Here is a 24,097-nt window from a genome sequence, read left to right as displayed (position 1 = left end):
TTCTTTATCAGCCTCTGCTTCAAATGTCTTTCTTCTGCATTTATAATAACCTAAATCCTCCACTTGGCATGGTTTGACCATGCCTGTCTCTCCCATCTCAGCTCATCCGTAGCCCCTCAGGCTTCCTGCACCTTCTTTCAGTTCCTTAACTGTATTGTGTGGTCCCTCTTGCTACAGGACCTTTGCATATACAGTCCCCTGTTCCAGGAATATTTTTATTCTCCTTATCCAGCACATCACCCCTTGTCTTGCCCTGGTCACCTCTGATTTACTTTTCAGATCTCAGCTCAAGGTTTTTTTTTTTTTTTTCCACAGGGACACCTTTTAAATTCCTAACATGGATCACAGTTTTTGTTGTACATTTGTGTGATTTGTGATTATGCGTTAATGCCTCTCTTCCCTCTATACTGTGAACTCCATGAAGGCAGAAATTGTTTTCGTTTTTGCTCACCATTGTGACTGCGTATACTCAGTAACAGTAACATAGTCACAGATGAATACAAATTTGTTGAATAACATGATAGAATGGATTCTCTGCAAAATGCAATGTTTATTTCTTTGTTTTGTTGAGCAGCTGTAGAGGTTTAAGAGATTTGTGTATTCAGTCATAGGCAGAACTATCACCATCATCTTCTTGGTTATCACAGAGCTGCACTTTTAGATGTCCTTTAAAAGTTAATGGTTGTCTGGAGGATTTAAGTTTTCAATTCCAGAATGGCAATTTCCAAGGGCCTTCTTTTCCTCCTCCTATGAGCATAGAAGGGACAGTTGAAATGGGCAGCTGTACAGATAAAATACACTGCTTTCTTGAAAACTCTGCAAACCAAATTGTGTTAGATGCTCATCTGACTGTAGACCTTGCATTGAGTAGTAGTGGGACAGATAGTATCTGTCCATCTATGAGCCTTATGCTGAATTTAGTAAGCTAAATAGTGCCGCCTTTTTATTTTTTTAAACACAAGTATATTGGTGGGATTTTTCTATAGGATTCTAGAAATCTGTCCCATGAAAGCTCACTATATATTTAGAGTGATCACCTTTTCCAGTATGTTGTCCCAAATGCCCTCTTTTCTCTGCTGTTCATTCTCTCTAATGAAAAGAAAGGCATTTTTTATTTACAGCTTTGTTGAATGCAGTCACCCATTATTTGGGGGTAATTGCTAGAGTAATCTCACCTCATTGGTTTCCAACAAAGCCTCCCAGATTGACATCTCACAAATTGAAAATTAAATGCACTATAAAAGCTATTAACTAAGCCTGACTGTTTGGAAATGGGGCATTGGGTTAATGGTTAGAATTATGGAGTGTTTTATTGTTTGTATGTTTTTGCATATTCATTGAAAACTTTTCTTCTCCCAGAATGTCTTTTGAGGAACCAAGCCTGTTCTACTTTATTTCTAGCAGTGATTTTTTCTTCAGTTTTGTATTTTCTTTTGCTTAAAGATACTATGTCAACATATTATCTTGAGGAACTCATCTCCTATATGATTACTAAATGATTTCCCTATCCTCCTCTTTTCCTTTTACTTCATTTTCCTCTTACTCTCCCAGCCATCTTTCAACAGAGTTCCTGCCCCCTTCTGTGTGGATCCAGCCAGTCCCTGGTCCCTTAATCTAGGCACCTTCCTTATGTTGTCCCTTTGGTATTCCATATCTAGTACATCACCCAGAATGTCTGCTTTTTCCTCCTCATTCCTTATCATGTCCCTGAATATTACTGCATTCGAAGGCCATTTCTGAACTTAAGAAATCTTTCAAGAGCATTTGTTATGTACATGACCCTGTAGAATGGATGTGGGGGCTTGCAGACAATGCTTAAGGAGTTGCAGAGCAGTCGGGCAGAATATATGTGTATATACCTGCTCGCGAGCAACATGGCTTTGTGATTGTGAATACAGATTGTGGTGCTATATTGCCTGGATTCAAATCTTGATTTGCTCATCTACTATCTGTGTGATCTTGGGTTTTATTGAATCTTTCAATGCATCAGTTTTCTCATCTATAAAAATGGGGACAATTTCCTTCCATGGATACTGGGATGATTTAATAAGTTACTATATACAAAGTACTTACAACAGTGTCCAGCATAGAGAGAACACTCACTTATACTTGTTGGTAGATCTAGACTCTAATCCCTGCTCTGCCACTTTCTCAACACCTTGAATCTCTTGTTTCACAAGGCATATATTAGAGACAGAGAAAAAAGCAGACTTTGAAGCCATAGGGTTCCAACTCTACCATTTATTTTTGTTAACTTGAGACAAGTTAACTTCTTGGAACCTCTGTGTTTATGTTGTTAAAAATAATCTATCCCCATAAACTACTCAAATGCCAGCCTACCTTGCACCTACCTGCAACTTTCCACCTTTATTTGGCTGAGACATTTTAGCTGCTGCTTTATGGACCACAGGTTCCTCCTTCCTTCCCCGTCATGATTCTTTATAGTTTGCTAAGTATACCATGTAATTTAATATTCATAACAACTCTGGGAGGCACAGGGCATTATTCTCCTTTCTATTTTAAAGTTATGGAAACCAAAGACCAGATAGGCAGCTAGGCTGACCCAGGTTGGCACAGTTGTAAATTGTGAAGGTGGGACTTGAACTTGTTTCTCTATGTTCTTTCTTTTATTCAACACAAGTCTATGAGTTTGGTTTTCGATTTACCCATGTCCTTCCTTTTTCTTAGATTCCTTTTGCGGTTTTTTGCCAAACCTGAGTCCCTTATCATGAGCAAACTGCCCATCCCCAACTCACGCCTTATGCAGTGAGTGATGGTGAGGAGGAGACAAGAGCAACTGGCCTCCAGCCCTTGACTTTATTCTTTGGTTTGGATTGGCCCATCAGACTCCTTGCTCATTTCTCCATCTGGCATACTCCCTCTCAGTGACAGCTTTTAATTCCCTTCCCATCTGAGTGCAGCTGGTGGTGCTACCCTTGTTGCCCCTCTGTCATCCTGCACATTCTTTTATTGGCACTCATTTCAACACATTTTATTTTTTAAAATAACTTTTTCTGATTGCAGAAGTTATTCATGCTTGTTGTAAAAATTATGGATCACGGCCGGGCGCGGTGGCTCACGCCTGTGATCCCAGCACTTTGGGAGGCTGAGGTGGGTGGATCACGAGGTCAGGAGATCGAGACCATCCTGGCTAACATGGTGAAACCCCGTCTCTGCTTAACTTAAAATACAAAAAATTAGCCGGGCGTGGTGGCAGGCACCTGTAGTCCCAGCTACTCAGGAGACTGAGGCAGGAGAATGGCGTGAACCTGGGAGGTAGAGCTTGCAGTGAGCCGAGATTGCACCACTGCACTCTAGCCTGGGCAGTAGAGCAAGACCCCATCTCAAAAAAAATAAATAAAAAAAATTATGGATCACATAGTAAGAAAGAAACAAAAACCACACATAATTCTATTACCCAGAGCTAAACATTGTTTTTGCTTTTTTTTAGAGACGTCTCACTCTGTCACCCACACTGGAGTGCAGTGGTATGATTTTAGCTCACTGTAACTTCAAACAGTTTAGGCTCAAGCGATCCTCCCACCTCAGCTTCCCAATTAGCATGCTACCACATCTGGCTATTTTTTAAGTTTTTGTAGAGATGAAGTCTCACTATGCGGCCCAGGCTGGCCTTGAACTCCTGGGCTCAAGTGATCCTCCTGTGTAGACCTCCCAAAGCACTGAGGTTACAGGCATGAACCACCATGTCTGACCAATAAATATTGTTAATATTTTATTATTTAATTTTGGGATTTATTTCATACTGTATGAACCTTTTTAGTTTCTGTATTTTGATAGCAGGAGCTCTAATAGAGAAAATTCAATGAGAATTACCTGGTGTAATGGCTTGGGACATGTGTGAATCTTTTGGGATCAGAAGACAACTCTGCTAGGCAGAATAATGGTCCCTAAAGATGTCTACATCCCAATCCCAGAAACCTGTGAATATGTTAGGTTACACGGTAAAGGAGAATTAAGGTTGCAGATAGAATTAAAGTTGCTAATCAGCTGACCATAAAATAGGGAGAGTATCCTGGATTATCTGGGTGGGCCCAATGTAATCACAAGGGTCTTTAAAAGTGGAACAGGGAATTGGAAGACAGAATCAGAGAGATGGCAGCATCAGGAAGTCTTGGCCTGTTATTGCTGGCTTTGAAGATAGAGGAAGATGGTCAAGAGCCAAGGAATGTGGCTAGAAGCTGGAAAGGCCAAAGAAACAGATTGTTCCTTAGAGCCTCTGGGAAGGAATATGGCCTTGCCAACACCTTGATTATAGCCCAGTGAACTCCATTTCAGAATTCTGAACTATAGAACTAAGTGTAAGATACAAATTTTTAGGCCAAGTGTGATGGCTTACACTTGTAATCCTTGCACTTTGGGAGGCCAAGACAGGAGGATCACTTGAGGCTAGACTGGGCAACATAGCAAGACCCCATCTCTACAAAAAATGTAAAAATGAGTGGGGCATGGTGGTGTGCATCTGTAGTCCCAGTTACTCAGGAGGCTGAGACCAGAGGATCACTTGAGTTCAGGAGTTCAAGATTACAGTGAGCTATGATCACTCTATTGTACTCCAACTGGAGTGACAGAGCGAGACTCTGTCTCTAAAAAATTAATAATAAAATAAAATAAAAATTTAACAGATACTAAATTTGTGTGGTTTAAGCTGCTAAGGTTGTGGGAATTGTTACCACAGCCCTAGAAAACTAATATACCTGGTATATGTAAATAAATAGAGCTATTATAAAGAGTCAATATATTAATACAGGATAATAACTTGGAAAATATCTGAGATATAGTAAACACTTAATAAAGGCTAGCTAACATTATTTTGTACTTTTGTCTGTATTGTTTTACAATCTGCTTTTTTCCTTTTCACATTTTTCCGTTTCATTGTATTTATGCCATATCATCATTTGTACCATAGTACTTTTCAACTATTCTTAACGCCTTTTCACTGTATGCATTAATTCAGATGAGTGTCAACAACACACTGCATGAAGAAAACGCACTCCACTACAGTATCTGTTTCAACAACACGCAGTGAGAAGACGTGAACTAGCGAAGTCATCCAGCCTGTTGGTTAAGTGCTGTTTGTAAGGCATCTGAGTCAGGGAGACCCCTGAGTCAGGAAAGACCCTGGGCGTACATTGGTTGTGTGGCCTTGGGGATGTTCCCTAACATTTCTCAGTCTCAATTTTCTTCATTGTAACATGGGGATACTTAGAACACCTATATTGCACATCTGTTGTGCATATGAAATAAGACTATACGTGGAGCCCTTAGCACAGTGCTGGTGCAAATTAACAGCTCAATATCTGTTAAAAGATGTTGTTGTTGATATTGTTACTGTAGTTGTTTATTTATCAGTTTCTCTGGGATTCTGGGTCAAGAAGGTTGAGTGAGATGGCAGACCTTCAGTTGATATCTGCATTGAGCACACTGTGAGTATCTCATAAATATTACATAGTACTGAGAACAGGCATGCTCTTGATGGTAAAAGACTGTGACAGATAAATGGAGGGTAGTGGGTAAAGATATCTTTTAAAACAGGCACATAAACATACACCTGAATAAAATATTTAACTGTTTGCTACAGCATTTGCATGAGTTTCAGAGGATGGGAGACTGATGCCAGAGAGCCAATAAAAGAAAGATAATTTGACAAGGTGGTGGATTGTCATAGCTTTTTTGCTGTTGTCAGCAAGGTTTTCATTTTTATTTTTAATTTTCTTTTCCTTTGATAATTTCTAGACCTAGTGCTGACATTTCAAAAGATTTTATCATTCCTGTGATAAATCCTTTAAATTGAAGCTGTTTTGTTTCTGGTGAAGGCATGATTGCTTTGAAAGCCATACTAGAGCTTTGTGTTGAAATTGTGCTCATATACAGTTCTTTTTCTCACTATTGGCCTGTGTTCATTTATTTAAAAGTTATTTATCTTGCAGAGTGTCAGCTCAACAAATGGTATTGCTCAAAAGGTCATGCTTGAGTTTTCTCTGACGTGATTAGTTTCATTGGCTCTTATTATTTCTCAGACATTCTTTTTTGAGTATGTTACTATTGATTGTTTTAGAAATTGATTTGGTAGAGACGAGTTTTGTGATGGATGGCAGTTTTTAACCCACAGAATAGGTCATTGTAGGGCTTCCAAATTACTTCAGAGCCAGTAATTATGATAAAACTTTACTTTTTATTGGAAGGACTTCATAGGTGTTATGTTTTTCATTTTCTAAGTTTATCCATATTTCACATTTCTCTTGCTTGGAAAGGTGAAAATATTCACCAACACTGATCACCTCGAGGTAGTGACGGTTGTTCAATGTTTTATTATGTGTCTTGGGAATTGTTTGTTCTCTACTCTCCCTTCTGTACTACTTAATAAGATTAATTTCCTTCCACTTCAAAAACCTTATGACCCTATTCTCCCTGATTTCAAAGGCCATGTCACAGTTCGGAGGGCAGTGGAGGTTCTTTAGGGGGAGAAAAGATTCTGGGATTCTGGACCACCTTCTAAATTGTGTTGCATATTTGTGAATTCCTCATAGCTTTTTTGATTCTTATTTTTAAAAATTGTGCTTTATTGTTTTTCACAGATTTGCATTTTTTACAAACTGAAGGTTTGTGGCAACCTTGCGTAAAGCAAGGCTATTGGTGCCATTTATCCAACAGCATGTGCTCACTTTGTGTCTGTTTCAAATGTGAAAAATTTTCACAATATTTAAGACTTTTTCATTATTATTATATCTGTTACAGTGATCTGTGATCATTGATCTTTGATGTTACTATTGTAATTGTTTTGGGGTGCCACGAACCATGTCCATAAAAGACGGCAAACTTAATCGATAAATCTTGTGTGTGTTCTGGCTTCTCCACTGACAGGCTGTTCCTCCATCTCTCCACCCCTCCTTGATCCTCCCTATTCCCTGAGACACAACAATATTGAAATTAGGCCCATTAATAGCCCTGCAATGCCCTCTAACTGTTCAAGTGAAAGGAAGAATCATGTGTGTCTCACTTTAAATCAAAAGCTAGAAATGATTAAGCTTAGTGAGGAAGGTATGTAAAAGCTGAGATGGACCAAAAGCTAGAGCTCTTTTGCCAAGCAGTTAGCCAAGTTGTGAATGCAAAGGAAAAAGTCTTGAAGGACATTAAAAGTGCCGCTCTAGTGAATACATGAGTGGTAAGAGAGCAAACAGTCTTACTGCTGATATGGGGAATGTTTGAGTGGTCTGGATGGAACATTAAACCACATACAACATTTCTTTAAGCCAAAGCCTAATCTAGAGCAAGTACCTAACTCTGGAAAACCAAAAAATTTGTATGACTCACTTTATTGTGGTCTAGGACCAAACCCACAATATGTCCAAGGTATACCTGTAATAATTGTTCTGCCTATCTCTTGAGGGTATCACGAGAAGAAGATTATGTGGACAAAAACAGTAGACAAAAAATGCAAAGAAAATAGTGGATGGGTAAGTAGTAGTTTTCTTAAACGTAACTTATTAGCACATAGTCCGGGAATATTGCATTTGAGAGGGCAACATTGCTTCTCCAGTAGCTGTTTGTTGTTAGAGTAGTTCCACTTGAAGCATGCAGGAGCTGCAGTTTCTCTGGGAGGCATGAGATGGGAGGGGAAAGCATGTATGTCCAGAGCAGTGGGCTAGCCCCAAGCTCTAGTCTTTGGTCAGTTCTAGGAAGGGGCAGATAAATACATATAAACTTTTTGCTGTGCTTGAATATTTGTGTCCTTGCCAAATTTATATGTTAAGTTCCTAACCCCTAATGTGATGATACTGGAAGGCCTTTGGAAGGTGATTACATCATGGCAGTGGAGCCCTTATGAATGGGATTAGTGCTCTTGTAAAAGAGACCAAAGAGAGCTGCCTTGCCCCGTCCATCATGTGGAGACACATTGAGAAGGTGCCATCTGTGACCTTGGAAACAGGGAAACAGGCTCTTACCAGATACCAGATTTTCTGGTGCCTTGATCTTGGACTTGTTAGCCTCCAGAGCTATGAGACAATAAATTTCTGTTGTTTTAAGCCAACCAGCTTTGGCATGGTGATATGGCAGCCTTAGGAAACAAGTACAGGTTGCTATGAAGATAGAGTAAGACAGAGAACCAAAACCATTTTGAGAATCAAAGTGCCCTATGGTTGTTAGTTGATACTTTCTTGGTTTACGTCACTCATAATCTAAAGTGCAGTACTGACCTTACTCAGACCGGTTTACCACTTAGGCTGCAGGGGTAGAAAAGAAGGAAGAAAAGCAAACTGATCAGACAGCCAGGTCTTTTCCGATGTGCAAACCAGTCTACATTCTTATGATCCAGTGGCATGAAAAGGAGAGAAGACAGAAGTGAACATGTAAGTGGTGATATTTTATTGCCTAATAGCCCCTCTGCTAACAGGCATGGCTAGTGTCCTGGAATTGAGACTTGTCCTTGAGGACTGTCAAAGATGGTAGGAGGGAGGAAAAAAGTGGGAGCCTTCTCTCTCTTAGGCATTTACATGGTACGTCTATTTAGAAACGTTACAACTTTAACATGTGCTTCTCCCCTTGCCTGTAGAACATCTGTATGGAGGCATAAGTAGGAGTGGGAATACAATAATATTTAATTTGGGGATTTTTTTCCTTTACAGCTCCTTGGATCGCACACTTGAGCGAGTGTGGACAGTAGAGGAGCAGGAAGGCTGTGCATCACTGGACAAAACCACTTTCTTGGGGCTCTTTGTCCTGTGACTTAGTTACAAAGAAAAGAACGTAGGAATGTACAACACTGTGATCCTGCACCAGGCCCTATGCTCAGGAGGGATGTGGAGATAGGAAATAAAGCAGAAGGGTAGAAAAACTGTGGTAACTTGTATAGCCTATTGGATGGGGTGGTTGGTTCTGCCTGGGAGGAACAGGTAGTTTCCAGTTGTTTTAGGAGCTTTCTTCCACTGCTTTCCTTTCCCCACCCTTTTTTTTTTTCTTTTTTTTGCCTTAGAATGTAGTATATTTAGCCCTGTTCAAATTACTTGAGTACTCGCATTGCAGGGATATGTGGGTAGTTGTGCGCAGCAAGTCATTTTAGCGGGTAGACAATCAACAATATCAGCAAAATAAAACGTCAAGTTTAGAGGGTGAGTGCGTAGTTTTCTCTCACTTATTAATATATTTGGAGGAATTAAATTTTCTTACATTTCTAAAGCCCATACTTGGATTTGAAGATTATGTTTCTTAGAAGGCTAATATTTAGTGATCAACTGTTTGTGCCAGGCCCTATGATGGGTGCTTTCATGTACATCATTACATTTTTCTTTTTCTTTTTCTTTTTCTTTTCTTTTTTCTTTCTTTTTTTTTTTTTTTTTTGAGACAGGGTCTCACTCTGGTTGCCCAGGCTGAAGTGGAGTGCAGTGGCATGATCTCGGCTCACTGCAGCCTCCACCTCCCAGGCTCAGGTGATTCTCCCACCTCAGCCTCCTGAGTAGCTGGCAGTACAGGTGTGTGCCAACACACCTGACGAATTTTTTGTATTTTTAGTGGAGACGGGGTCTTGCTATGTTGCCCAGGCTGGTCTTGAACTCCTGGACTCAAACAATCCACCCACCTCAGCCTCCCAAAATGCTGGGATTACAGGCATGAGCCACTACACCTGGCCATCATGACAATTTTCAAAGCCCCTCTGAAATTCTATTTTTATTCCCATTTTACAGATAAGGACATTGAGACCCAGAAAGCAACTGCTCAAAAGTCTAGGGAAAGACTCTAGCAATTTCAGTGATTTTATAACAATAGATTGCCTTGGAGATGTATTTTTTTTTTCGGAAAGTAGGTCAGGTTCTAAATGGATCATTTAGAACGGACAGGAGATAGGGAAATACTGGGTAGAAAAGGGTGGTTCCCTGGCAAGTGCCCCACTATCAAGCCAGGATACTCATGCCCCTAAATGGAGACAGGCATTCCTGTTTTCATGCCCAAAAGCTGCCTTTTGGCTCACCACAGCCCCTATCCTGTACCCATGTAAACCCCAGACTGCAGGCTCCAGAAGCAGACAAGGAGAAGAGTAGACAAGTGGCAGAATGGCGTGGGAGAGAGAAGAGAAGGGCCATCCGAATGCTGAGAGAAGTTTGGCTGGGGATGGTCAGAGAGGAGATTGGCTACTGGATGGCCAAACTCCAGGGGAAGAACATCTTCCCACTCCATCCCCCTTCCAGCTCCCCATTCGTCTCATTGAGAGCAATTTCCACCACTCAATAATACCCCCACATTCATCCTTCAAGTCTGTATGTGACCTGACTCTTCTGGGATGTTGGACGAGAGCTTGGGTACAGAAAGCTGTCACACTGGCCCTCTGCCATTGTGAAAAGGCAGAGAATTCACTGAGCTGGTTAACAGATAAGCTGCCCGCGAATGGCAAGGCTGAAAGAGTACACTGTAACACAGCCCATTTGGGCTTTGGGAGTTGCAGGCTCTCAACCCTGAATGCTGCCCTGGGGCTGGAGCCCAGGGGTGCTTACTCTGGCTCCTGAACCTACCTGTCTGCATGCTCCCCTCACATAAGGGGTTTGAGGAGCAGTGGTTACTGAACAGATGAGTCACATCCCTGTCTCACGTTCAGCAAGGGGTGTCAGGGAATTCTCCCATTTCAATTTCTCAGTGTTTTCTCCTACGCAGTCTGTTGTGGTGGTGGTCATTAGTGCCATCCAGCAAATATTTTGGCATGAGCTCCCTGCTGTGGAGTAAGAGGGCATTTCATCACTTTCTTGAAGGTAGACATAGACAGTGAAATACGAGAAGAAGTGATACAGCATTACCTCCAGTAAAAGCTGTGAGAGCTATTGAATTATTTGCCTTTGCCCCATTTTCCTTCTGCCATGGCAACTGGAAATGCTCTGTTAGCTTAGGTCCTGGAGTTAGGATGATGTAGAACAATGACCTCAGACAGCCTGCAATGTCTGTGTAGTGCAAGTGAGAAACAAACCTTTTCTTTAAGCTGCTGTGTTTATCATAGCAGCATAGCTTAACTTATTTTGACTGATACACTTTTGTGACATGGGTTTCATGCTCCCCATGGCTTTCAAATCTATATCTGTTAGGTTAGAAAACTCTTCTGTGGTCATCTTATTCTATAATTAAATCCAAGGCCTACTTAGAAGCCTTGGATGTTACAGAGTTTCAAATGGTACAGACAGACTGATAAGCAAAATTTATCCAGTAAATGTTTATTGAGTTCCTATGAAGTGCAGAACATCATGAGGGATCCAGAAATAAATTAGGTTGGTAACCTGCCTCAGAGAAATTAGAATCTAGCAGGGAAGGGCTCTATTTATGTATTAAATGTATGCAATGAAATGTACATGGTTTGTGCATTTATTCAAATATACTTGTATAAGGTCCATGACTACTGTATTTGTCAAGTGTTGGGGATTTTGTAGAGCAAAAAGAGATATGGTCATTTGTACATGGAGTTAGGGCCTAAAAAAGGAAATTAAAATTAATCACACAAACATAGATGAAATTATAACTGGGGTGGGGGCTATAAAGAAGCACATGGTGCTATGAGGACTTATAACAGGGGGAATTATTTAGTCCAAGGGCATAATGAAGAGCTCATAGTTAGTTTGTGGAAATGCCTTGGGCTCTGCAATCAAGCAGACCTGGGTTTAAATTCTGGTTCTGCCACTTTGAGCCATAAGACTCTGCTCAAGGCATTTTACTTTTCAAAACAGATATGAATGTATTTTTCTCAGGGTAGTTGTAAGACTAACATAAGCTTTTGACTGTGGCAGTGCCTGCATACCGTATATGCTATTAAATGTTTGTTACTGAGTCTCCTTCCCCTATGTGATTGATTCTATATGACCAATGCAGAGGATGCTGATGGCGAGTATGGGTCTTTCTGGGGGTTAGAGAAAGTTTTGTGAAAAAAAGTAGCATTTGAGCCCAGACTTGAAGAATGGAAAAGGTTTGAATAAAAATAATTGTAATCATATGGTGAGATGATAATTATAGGAAATGGAATATTACTTAGTAGCTAAGATCATAGGCTTCTGAATGAAACAGACCCTAATCAAAGGATCCATCATTATTAGCTCTGTGACCTTGGGGAAGGTGCCTCTTCTCTCTATTTGGAAGTTTCCCCATCCATAAAATGAGGATAATATTGGAACTATGCCATAGGATCGAGGTAAAGATGAAATGATAAAAGCATGTAAGATATTTAATACAGATCCTGGTAACTGAGGAGATGCTCCATATAATTGGCAACCAATATTTACTCTTATAAGCAGAGAAGGGATAGTCTCTGGGTTCTTTTTTTGTAGTGCTTTAGATTCAAACTCCCAGTGCATTGTCTGACTGCAAGGGGGTGATGTCATTGAGTACAGCATGAGATTTACTGTCTCCTTTGAGTATTAATCCCCACCAATTAATAGTGACAGTCACTAAACATTTAGTACCTAATGAGGTGCATCTCCTTAGTATGGCTGGAATGGTGTAGCAAAGGAACTATGTAATCCAACTCACCAGACTTCCTTCTCACTGGCTCTCCATGACCTCCCCACTGGGCTGCCTGAGGGCATTGACTTCATTTGGAAAATGCATTTAGAAATGTCACTGGCTGGAAAGTATTGAGCTCTAAAGCCTCCTTGGAACTGTGGATGCAAAGAATGTGAAGAGCCAGTCTCCTGTAAGCACCGAATCCCAAGTCATCATCTTGAAAATGGAGAAAATAAGGGTTAGAAAGGGGAATGAGATGACCAAGATTATACTGTTGGGGATATAGCAGTGAAATAAAGAAGTTAGGTAAGGTCCCTGCTCTTATGAAGCTAAAGATTCAGTGAGGGAGATTGACAACATGCAAGAAAACAAATAATTCCAAAAGTAAAACAGAGTACAATGGCAAAGAATAATGAGCTTAGGGGATATTTGATATATGGTAGTCAAAGGATGTCTCTTGGAAGAGGTGATATTTAAACTGAGACTTGAAAGATGTAAAGGCACCAGCAAAGATCTGGGGCAGGAGTGTTCCGGGAGTGAAAAGGAGTAGCAAGTTCAAAGTTCATAAGGCAGAAATACGTTTGGTGTGTTTGAAGTTTGGTGTGGCACAAATCCCAGTGAGCTAGGGTGTTAGTGGTAAGCGATGCGGTGACAGAGGTTGGTGAGGCAAAATGTGTAGGGTTTAGGCCACATTCAGGGTTCAAATTTTATTTAATTACGAAGGAAGGGAAGCCTCCTGGAAAGTTTCAAGCAGTGAAGTGACAAAACTGGATTAGTGATTTGAAAGATCCTTCTGCCATGGTATATAGAATAGGCTATTGGAGGATGAGAATAGAAACAGAGAGACAGTTAAGAGTTTAAATTCCAGGTAGGATTTTATTTCAATAGTCTAATTGAGAGATAGTGATGGAGTAAACCAAGGTTATAGACTGGAGAAAAGGGAGGGAAGTGGACAAACTGGAGCTATATTTGGAGCGAGATTTTGCAGGATGCTGGGAAAGAGTGAGGTAAAGGGAATGGGTAGTTGAGGATGGTTTTCTCCATTGTGTTTTTCCTTGAATGACTGGATATGTGCTAGTGACATTTATTGAGACGAAGAAGGCTGGGAGAAGAGACGACATGGGGGCATAAGATTAAAAGTGGGAAGAGTTGTGGAGGAATTTATGGGTTAGGCCAGTGGAAACTTCCATCTTTATCCCACTGGCTAAAACTCAACCTCACAGCCAGATCTAACTGCAAGGGAGACTGGGGCAGGTAATCTAGGTGTGTGACCTCAAAGAGAAGAAAAGTTTGGTGATCATCTCTCCCATGGTGCACCACTGGCCACTTGATTCTTAGGTACGAAAGCTTCTCAACCTAAGAGTCATTCAACTCACGACTTGGGCCAGGGGTCCTTTCTTCTCAGTCATGACCTCACTCAGCCACTTGGGAGCTGAGCCAGCCCACATTTAGGTAAGACCTGAGCTAGAATTTGGAGTAGGTTCCCCTCCTTTCTCCCCCTGAGTTCAGTTAACTTATTTTTATCCTGTAGCTCTAACTCTGGACTCAATCTTTTTTTTTCTTTTTTAAGAGACAAGCTCTTGCTGTGTCCCCCAGGTTGGACAGTAGTGGTGCAATCATAGCTCAATAGAGCCTCAGACTCTTGGCCTCAAGCAATCCTCTTGCCTCAGCCTTCTGAGTCACTGGAATTATAGGCATAAGCCAGTGTGCCCAGCTCGGGAATCATTCTTTATCTCAGTCATGTCCAGGCTCCTGTTTGAACATAGACCTCATATACTTTAGACTTGACTTCTGATACCTATCCCTGCAGACTCTGTCTCAAGTTCATTATTAGTTTCTTGTGAAGAACACCATATTTGGATGTTTGTGGCTTTGGGTATGATTCTCTCAGTCTTCCAAACTGTAAAGCTGGGTTTGGTAGTGTTGTGAAGTGGCCTTAGAATGTAACAGATATGCAGAATCTGGAAAACAAAATCACAAGGCCTGTTAGGAAAGAGCAGTGATTATATGGAGTTGTTAGCTCGATTTGAGTTAGTCAAATCAAATAGTAATTCTACATACACATCCTTACATTTATTTTGTGTTAAAATAATTTTTATATATACAATCTCATTTTATTCTTATAGCACTGCTGCAGAATAGGCATTATTATCCTCATGTATCAGTCAAGGTATAACAAGAGAAACAAGCAGAAAGATGGATGGATGAATGGATGGATGGATGGATGGATGGATGGGTGGATGGTTGGACATAGAATTATTGGAAGGAATTGGTTTACACAACTGGGGGCCGCTAGGTAATTTCAAAATCTGTAAGGCATGCTGTTAGGAGGGGGAGGCTAGAACTCCTTGGCATGATCTGAAGACACAGGCAGAACTTCTTCCTCAGGGAAGCCTCAGTTCTGCTCTTAAGGACTTTCAATGGATTGAACTAGACCCACCCAGATTACCTAGGATAATCTCCTGTACTTATAATTAACTGACTGTGGACTGTAATCACATCTACAAAACACCTTTGCAGAAACACCTAGATTAGTGTTTGGTTGAATAAATAAGGATTGCAGCCTAGCTAAACTGAACAAATAAAACTAATCATCACAGCCCATTTTATAGGTAAGGAAATAGAAGCAGAGGGTAGGAAGTTGCAGAGCTGGTTGTTGGACTTTTTTTTATCATGTTAAAATATCTCTTTAAGTATTTTTTCCAGTCCTTAAATTTCATATAATATTCTTAGCAGAATCTAAAGAAAATGTCTGGATTGACTTAAGAAGAATGATCTAAATGATGCAATATTCCAAACAGAATAGTGAAGAAAGTTATTGCCTGCAAGGCAGCCAAAAGAGTGTGAGAATGACTTATTTTTTCCTGATCTAAAAGTCTCATCATGAATAATTTCCAATATGCATAAGGCCTTGATTTTAAGTAAGTCGGTGATAATAGAGTTTGCTTCTTTAATTCTTCATGCAGGATTGCAAGACACGAATCCTTAACATTTACTTCCAGCCTGAGGCTGAACAAGTTATTGGTTTAATTATAGAAAGCTGAACTTTCATCTTTCTTTAATTGAGCATGGATAATTTGTACCTGTGATCAGTAGCCAAAATGCCATAAAATTTCTTATGAAGCCTCATACTCATACCCTTTTACTGCAGTAAAAATACCAATTCTGTAGGCCTGTACAGTCATCATTTTGGGCAACCATTTCAATGTGTTAGTAATTATTGTCAGCACTTCATGACTAATGTGGTTTGGAAAGTGGTGATGGGCAGTACATTTAGAGAACAAGAGGCCAGTGAGGAGAGAGATGCTGGCTTCTTGGGCCCATTGTTTGAATGACAGTCAGAGAACAGCAGATCATTATTTTTCACAGCAAGGAAAGGAGGAAGGGTCTCAGAAATCCTGAACTGAATGTCAGCTCTTGGGTGCTTTTGGTTACGCATTCTAACATAAGAAGGCAAGGGCATTTTTATTTATTTTCTTTTCTTCAATCACACCCTAGGAAGACACAACTATTATTATAGGTTATGTGTAACCTCTGAGCTCATGGTCTTTAGTGAGAAGGCACCCTAGAGGCCAAAATGACTATTGTGCCTCTTTCTGCTATAAATTTGAAATAGTATTGGGCCACTGAATTATTGCAGCCTTGGAATATGTGCCTAGTAATAATTGTGATCTAGCCTGGAAGAAATGGAGTTGATTTTATTGCCAGTATAGAAATAGTTGGTATAACCTCGAGGGCAAAATTGATAGGGTAGTCAATTTTTTAACTCTTTTAGGCAGAACTACCTTAAAAAAAAGAATAGTTTACAAATTTAGAGTTGAAAGAAACATAGTTTGAATAGAGTATGTTTCCCTGAAGGTATTCAAAGAGTGTTTTCATGCTCTGTTTCTCAATCCAAATTATACAGCAGACAGATCGATAGTTCAAATTCTTTCCTATGGAGAAATAAAGTGTGAGATAGACGAAGAAGAGAGGATGGGGAAATAGGAGCTTGGGAGAGGACTTATCAGCTTTTAAATTAATAGAGAACTGGTAAAGGGCAAGTCCAGAGCCATGGTAAATTCGCGCCTGGAGAGGAATGGGGGGTGGCTTATGACTTCCTGTGAAAGGAGTCTGGGTAAAGTGAGGAGAGGGCTGAGAGAGGAATTGGGGACAGGTGGTAAAAGTTTTTGGCAGCCTGTGAACAAATAGTTTGAAAAGGAGGAGTTTCTTAGTTTTCTCAGCAGAAATAGAAGACATGCTCAACTGGAATTTTACAGATAATTGAATAAAGGTACAATTTAAAGATATACAATTTAAAGGTACAATTTAGAGATGTGTGGGCAGGGCTGAGGCACCTAGGAAGAGAGGACGAGGTGCCAGGTTTTAGCAATAGCAGGAAGCTGTTGTACTGCCCAGGCCTGAAGAGCATGGGGTGAGCATGGGGATCCAGTGTTCATGGGGTGCCATGACCTACCACTGTGGAAGGAGGCTCTAGATAAGAGTCGAAGTTGTAGAGGGATCCAGTCATTGTCAGAGCCACAGTGCTGAGGCAGGGGGAGAGCCAGGGAACGAATGCTCAACTCTGCTCTCCTGCCACCTTTTGGTCTTTCTATTAGCCAGTCCAACCTGAAGTCAGAGGAGACAGGAGCTCCTGTGATGTGGAGAAGGGCAGTGAATGATTCTGGGAAAACAGCAGAGAGAATAAGCAGCACTGGTGGAGGGTCTAGGAGGTGATGGGATGCAAGGGCACTGGACTTGCCTTGGGAGCCAACTTGCTGAGGGACTTTAAGCAAATAGCCTGATCCTTTTCTGTTTCTCCCCCGCAACCCATCAATAAATAGGGATAATAACTTACCCATTTCCTGGGGTTGTTATTGTCAGCCTAAATAACAAACAGAGAGAGGCTTTCTAAAAGAAAAAAATATTTATTTGGGAATAGTGCATGAGAATACACTGCAATGAGACTGCTGTGCCCATATGAGTACTCAGGGAGGTAAAAGAAAGAAATGGTTTTTAAAGGAAAAAATGAGGAGAATTACATAATTGTTTTGAAATAATTATCCTTGGTTACAAAGATAAATAACAAGAGTGACACCAGTCTGAGATTGGACAGGCAATTGCTGGGCAGATGTCCTTGCAAAGGTATTCTTTTGTGTAAGTTTGTAATGGTCTTTGTACAAGGTTGTGTTTTTTGCAGTCATTGTGATAGTGTTTCTTGTCAGGTATACGAATATGAGAATCCTCTCTTCATGGACTTCTGTGGCTCTATTTATCAGGGTTTTTTTAAAAACAAACAAGCAAACAAGCAAACAAAAAAAAACTTTAGTGACTCCATTTTGATTTGGACAATTGTCACGTTATAAAGATCAGGTGACATAATAGATGTACCTCATTAATTTGTATTTATGTTGAATTTTATAATTTCTAAATCTTTCTCATGTCTCTTACCTCATTTGCTTCTCAATACTAGTCTTTAGAGTAGTCAAGATAGGTTTTATTATTCCCATTTTATAGGGAAGATGACTGAGTTGCAGAAATTAAGTGGTTTCCTAAAAGTTACCAGGTTAAGAGATCTGTTGACTCAAACTTGACTGTAATTTTCTCCTAGTATACTTTGAATGCTATTTAATTCAGCATTGTAGGTGATTTTGAGGGACTATTATCATCTTTGTAAAGCATAAAAGTTCCAGATGAGGAGCCTGAGACAGTACCTTTCATGTGGTCTGGAAGAACAGCACCCGGGATTCAGGCCTGCTTTCTTATCTGGGAAGACACCACAGGGAGGGAAAAAGCTGTGCTGCCGGTTTTCATAACCAGCCACTTCTGTTTCTCTCTGTGAAAAAGGCAAAAAGAGGTATAGCTCATGCAGGTAGCACACAGCAACAAATTGGAGTTACCTCATGTGTATGCCTGTGCCTTACAAGATGTGTTATTTTTTATTTTTGCCCTCTTGTAACTTACCTGTAGAATGTCACCTACGCATAAAAATGCTACTAATGGGGGCAAGTTTTCTTCCCCCCAACTTGTGTCTGGTCTGTAGATATGCCAGCTATCTGGGACAATCAGATCCTGCTGTATTAGGGGAATTTTACCATCTGCTGCTTTTATGTGGCACTTCCTTCTTACTCACTAAGTTTCCACCTGAGCAGGATTGCAGTGCTGAAGCTCTCTGAAGGGTATTGTCTACAAAAGTAGTTATTGTGTCAGGTGAACGTGAAAGGGAAATAAAAAGTAAGTCACCTGATATATCATCATAAAGAATGGTTGACTGGGTGCTGTGGCTCATGCCTGTAATTTCAGCACTTTGGGAGGCCGAGGAGGGCAGATCACTTGAGGTCAGGAGTTCAAGACCAGCCTGGCCAACATGGTGAAAGCCTATCTCTAGTAAAAATACAAAAATTACCTGGGCATGGTGGTGTGTGCCTGTAGTCCCAGCTACTCAGAGGCTGAGGCAGGAGAATTGCTTGAACTCCGGAGGCGGAGGTTGCGGTGAGCTGAGATCGCACCACTGCATTCCAGCCTGGGCTACAGAGTGAGATTCTGTCTCAAAAAAACAAAAGCAAAAACAAAAAAGAATGGTTGCATTGATTGAATCTGAATATCCCAGGAGGAAGGCACTCTTTGGGAACTGCCATAAACTTCAGACCCCAAGGGCACCCAACCTGAGGTTACTCCTGAAAACTGAATAAATGAGTCTACTAACATAGTTCTGGCTTTGCTTGAACACTTTTGGTTATGGGGAACTCAGTGCCCTCTGAGTTAGCCCACTCAGTCCATAAAGAGTTCAATAAAAATGTTTCACACCCCAAACTGAAATTGGAATGGATTGCCTCTCTGGTTCTAGTTACTCTGCATCTAGTAATACACAATTAGCCCATTTCGGCATCAACATTGCACACTGTTGAACTGTATTAAGCTCACTGTCTACTAAAACCAGATTACAATTTGTTAGTTTTACGTGACATACTGCTGCTAAATCAAATCTCAGACATTCTTCACTTCTTTAGGTTTTATACCCAATCTTGTATTTATATGTCTGTTAAACTTCCTTCTATTTAGACTGGCTTGATTGTTACGAGTATTTTGGAAGTTGATTTTGTTCATATAGTTGCTATTGTTTCAATTGCATGTTCAATAAATATATCCCGTATATCTTCATCTAAATCATTGATTAAAATGCTAAACAGGGCTGGAGGAAGGGTTATTAGACGCCTGCTGGGTTCCTGGTCACTATAGTAGGGAGACATGGGGAAGAATAAATTATGAAGAGTGACCATAGTATGTTGTAAAATTAATGAGTTAGTAGCAATAGGCCTAGAAAAGTAGGTTATAAGGAGCCTAGGGAAGAACTTTTCCCCATTCTGAGGTACATAATTTGACCTGTTGTTTTATTTATTTTCCCAAGCTTTATTGAAGTATAATTGACAAATTAAAATTGTATATATTTAAGGAGTACAAAATGATGTTTTGATATATTTCCAGATTGTGAAATGTGACCAAAATTAAGCTAATCAACATATCTATCACCTTACATAGTTATCTCTCTTTTGTGTGTGTGGTAAAAATACTTAAGATCTACTCTTTTAGCAAATTTTCAAGTATACAAAACATTTTTTTTCTTGAGACAGGTCTCTGTTGCCCATGTTGGAGTGCTATGGTGTGATCATGGCTCATTGCAGCCTTAACTCCTGGGCTCAAGTGATCCTCCTATCTCAGGCTCCCAAGTAGCTGAAATTATAGGTATATGCCACCGTGTCCAGTGAATTTGAAAATTTTTTTTGTAGAAACTAGGTCTCACTGTATTGCCCAGGCTGGTCTCAAACTCCTGGCATCAAGTGATCCTCCTGCCTCAGCCTCCAAAAGTGCTGAGATTATGGGTATGAGTCACCATACCTGACCATACAAAACATTATAATTAACTATAGTCATTAGGACCTATTGTTTTTAGAATATTGAGCTTTCTTCACCTTTTAATCACAATAGCAAAGACTTGGAACCAACCCAAATGTCCAACAATGATAGACTGGATTAAGAAAATGTGGCACATATACACCATGGAATACTATGCAGCCATAAAAAATGATGAGTTCATATCCTTTGTAGGGACATGGATGAAATTGGAAACCATCATTCTCAGTAAACTATCGCAAGAACAAAAAACCAAACACCGCATATTCTCACTCATAGGTGGGAATTGAACAATGAGATCACATGGACACAGGAAGGGGAATATCACACTCTGGGGACTGTGGTGGGGTCGGGGGAGGGGGGAGGGATAGCATTGGGAGATATACCTAATGCTAGATGACACATTAGTGGGTGCAGCGCACCAGCATGGCACATGTATACATATGTAACTAACCTGCACAATGTGCACATGTACCCTAAAACTTAGAGTATAATAAAAAAAAAAAAAAAAAAAAAAAAATTTGCATAGATGTTTCAGGCATGCTTGAAGGAAGTTATAGATCCATTTTTAGGATATGGATTATGATATATATTAAATGTATTTTCTGTATTTCAATTCTCTGTAATTTTTTTCTACTTGAACTATAAAAAATTAAGGGGGGAGTGCTTTAATGTTTGCCATTGCTGTTGCATTTAGGTAGTTCTCTTTTCAAACAAAATGTAAATATTATGATATGCTATTTTGTTTATAAATGGTTAAGTTGCTGTCTTAATTGTGAGTTAGTAAATTAATCTGTTTATGCTCTTTATTGCTTTTTTCTTGAATTAAGCATTGTCTGATACTAATATCGCAACCCCTGAACTCTTTTGATTTGCATTTTCCTGGTAAAACTTAGCTATCCTGAGCATACCCAGTGGTAGTGGTCTGGAGTTTCCCTGGGGAGAGACTCCCAGAGCCATCTGACTGCCTCTCTTCCACTGCCACAGCAGTGGTTCTATTCCTGCTGCCCTCAGTCTGGGGAAGAAACAAAGAGCCTGAGGGCTACACCTGAGCTTACAGCATGCCACTATCACCATATGGAGAGTAGACTAGTCTCTCTTCCCAGTGAGCCCTTCGCCCTTTGCTCCCCAGCAAGTGGAGCCCCAAGCTCACACCAACAGTGCAGCTGCCCCACCCCAATGGCTGAACACTCTGGGCAACAGCTGGGAGTCCACATTTATCAGAGGCGGATCCCCCGGGAGCAACTGAAAGCCACTCTGCTACTGCCTCTGTAGTGGTACTATCCCTGCTACCCTCAGTCTAATGAAGGAGCAAAGACCGTAAGTGTCTTATTCACACCTCTAACAAGCTGCAGTCGACCTATGGGGAGGAGGCCAGTCCTTCTCCCACAGACTCCACCCCATCACCCATCACCAAGCAGGGAACCCCTGCCTTGGGCCCACAGCACAGACCCCTTATCCTGGGCTGATTGCAGTGAGCGATTGCTGACCTGCATATCTCTGGGGTGGAGCCCCCAGGAGACAAGTGAAAGACCATCAGCCACATCTATTGATAAGGCCTCTTCCTCTGCTGCCTCCAAGTTGGTGAGGAAATATAAACCTGAAGATCACCCTGCAGCGGTGGTGGGCAGCCCAGGAATGTCAAGCCACGATCTACAGCCAGCTCTTAAGTGGGAGAGGAACTCACACTTTCAGATCATTGACCGAGAACACAGCAACTGAGCAAGAACCTGCTAACTGACCACTACATCTAAGTGCCACCTATTGGATCATACTCCAAAGCTTCAATACCAAAATACCTCAATAACATAACCCGCCAACTGTGAAACCAAAGGCAAGATGTCAGTTACAAATAAAGACCCTGCGCAAAGCCTTGGCCCTGTGAACACATCCAGAAAAGAAGTCTACTGACCATATTCAATCTATATCACAGTTAAAGGAACACACACATGTAGAGATGAGAAAGAATCAACATAAGAACTCTGGCAACCCAAATGACCCAAGTGTCTATGTCCTCTAAATGATTGCATCAGTTCTCCAACAAGGGTTCTTAACCAGCTGAGTTGTCTGAAATGACAGAAATAGAATTGAGAATATAGATAGGAATGAAGATCATCAAGATTTGGGAGAACAGCAAAATCCAATCAAAGGAAACTAAGAATCGCAAAAAAATGATACAGGAGTTGACAGATGAAAATGCCAGTATAAAAAAGAATCTGATAGAACTAAAAAACACACTATTCCTCCCTCTACCATTAACTTTCCTTCATCTCTTGTTATATTGGCATATGTGAAATTTTATTCCGATGTATTGGCCATTTATGTTTTCTGGGAAGAATGTTAAAATGGAAGATGTGAAAAGAATGGGTTAAAAGTGGAGGTGGATAAGGAGACCACTTAGAACTTACTATAGAAGTTGAAGGAAGGAGGCGGTGATGTCAGAATGAGAAGGAAGGGACCAGATAAGGAATTATTTAGAAACTTAGTTTCAATTTTATCTTTGCTATGTTACTTTCTTCATTGAAAATAAATGTGGTCTATCCATATTATTTCCTTACTCTGTGTCACTCATGCCAATAGATCACTCTTCTCTCAATGTATTTGACTAGATCTTAGTCTTAGAATATTTCTGTGGTGTAGTCTAGTTTGGGAATACTTGAATTTATTTGTTTCTCCTCCTGTGGTGATACACCTTTCTGATTTGTGTCTCCTTGAAACTTTTAAGCTGTGTGTATATCTTGGAACCTGGTCATCTTCATACTCTGAAGCCCCCAAAGTGTTCAGAACAGTGTGTTGGTTCCCTCAGTATCTCCACCTAGTTCTGTATGATTCTCCTTGTGATTTCACCATGGTCTCTTTTTTTTTTTTTTTTTTTTTTTTGCCTCACTGACCTCAGCAGATCTGCTTTGCCTGGACACTAACAATTAATTTGCTGTCTTGTTTTAAAATTAGAAAAAAAATTTAAAGCAAAGCCCCTCTGCTTTGTTGAGGTAGAGACAGAACATTCAGCACCAGAATAGATTATCATGTTAGTTTCTCCTCACAGTGGGGCTCTGTGTAGCTTCTCTGGACTGAGCAGGTCTTGGTTGACCAGCTCTGTTTTTTTTTTTTTAATGGATTCATTTCTGAGGATCATAGCAAGAAGGAAATGGAAGTGAGGAGTGAGAAAACTCCTCCTGCAGCAGCCTTCACTCAGGCCTATGGGAAGAGTTATAGAACCCTCATGCAGGTCTTCCCCAAAGAGCCTTCATTTTTTCTTTTTGGCCTCTGCCCTCCAAAAGTCAACAGAAAATTTTCAGCAGTACTTAATTTGATAAGAAATGTGATCCAGGGAGGTGGTCTCTCCCTGAACATCTGGAAGGGCAGAGTTCTTGCCCCAGGCAGAGCCTCAAAATAAGATAACAGTTTATAGGAGCTCTAAATGAGCTATTTCACACAAAAGTACTTTGTTTACATTCTAAACATGAGGTCTCCATGTGTGAATGACTACTTTCTCATACACATGATCCTTTGTCTCATCCTCATAATCACTGAGTAGCTCAATTACTATGTGCTAAGATAGGCACTGGGATAAATGTTTTACATTCATTGCTTGGTTTTGTTTTGTTTTCTCATATTCTAGTGGGAGCTAAATACATTCATTATTTTTTTAAACACTAATAGCAATCTCCTGATGTAGTAAATATTACAAATTTCCTTTCACAAATATCAGATTAAAAAA

The 24,097-nt window shown here is 40.4% G+C and overlaps 1 protein-coding gene and 1 long non-coding RNA gene across 3 annotated transcripts in view; one reads left to right on the top strand and one right to left on the bottom strand.

The window, feature by feature from the left end:
• The window catches only part of SUMF1 (sulfatase modifying factor 1), a 432,784-nt gene that overhangs the window by 407,164 nt on the left and 1,523 nt on the right, over positions 1-24,097 (top strand). The window lies entirely within an intron of this gene.
• The window catches only part of LOC102723512 (uncharacterized), a 40,652-nt gene continuing 29,890 nt past the window's right edge, over positions 13,336-24,097 (bottom strand). For both annotated transcript variants that reach the window (XR_007095788.1, XR_007095787.1), the window contains one exon: positions 13,336-18,301. This is a non-coding gene — a long non-coding RNA (uncharacterized LOC102723512). The remainder of the gene's footprint in view (positions 18,302-24,097) is intronic.

The sequence above is a fragment of the Homo sapiens genome, chromosome 3 (assembly GCF_000001405.40).
Source record: "Homo sapiens chromosome 3, GRCh38.p14 Primary Assembly".
NCBI lineage: Eukaryota > Metazoa > Chordata > Mammalia > Primates > Hominidae > Homo > Homo sapiens.
Note: the sequence above shows the minus strand (reverse complement) of the source record. Positions and strands in the feature narration are given on the sequence as shown.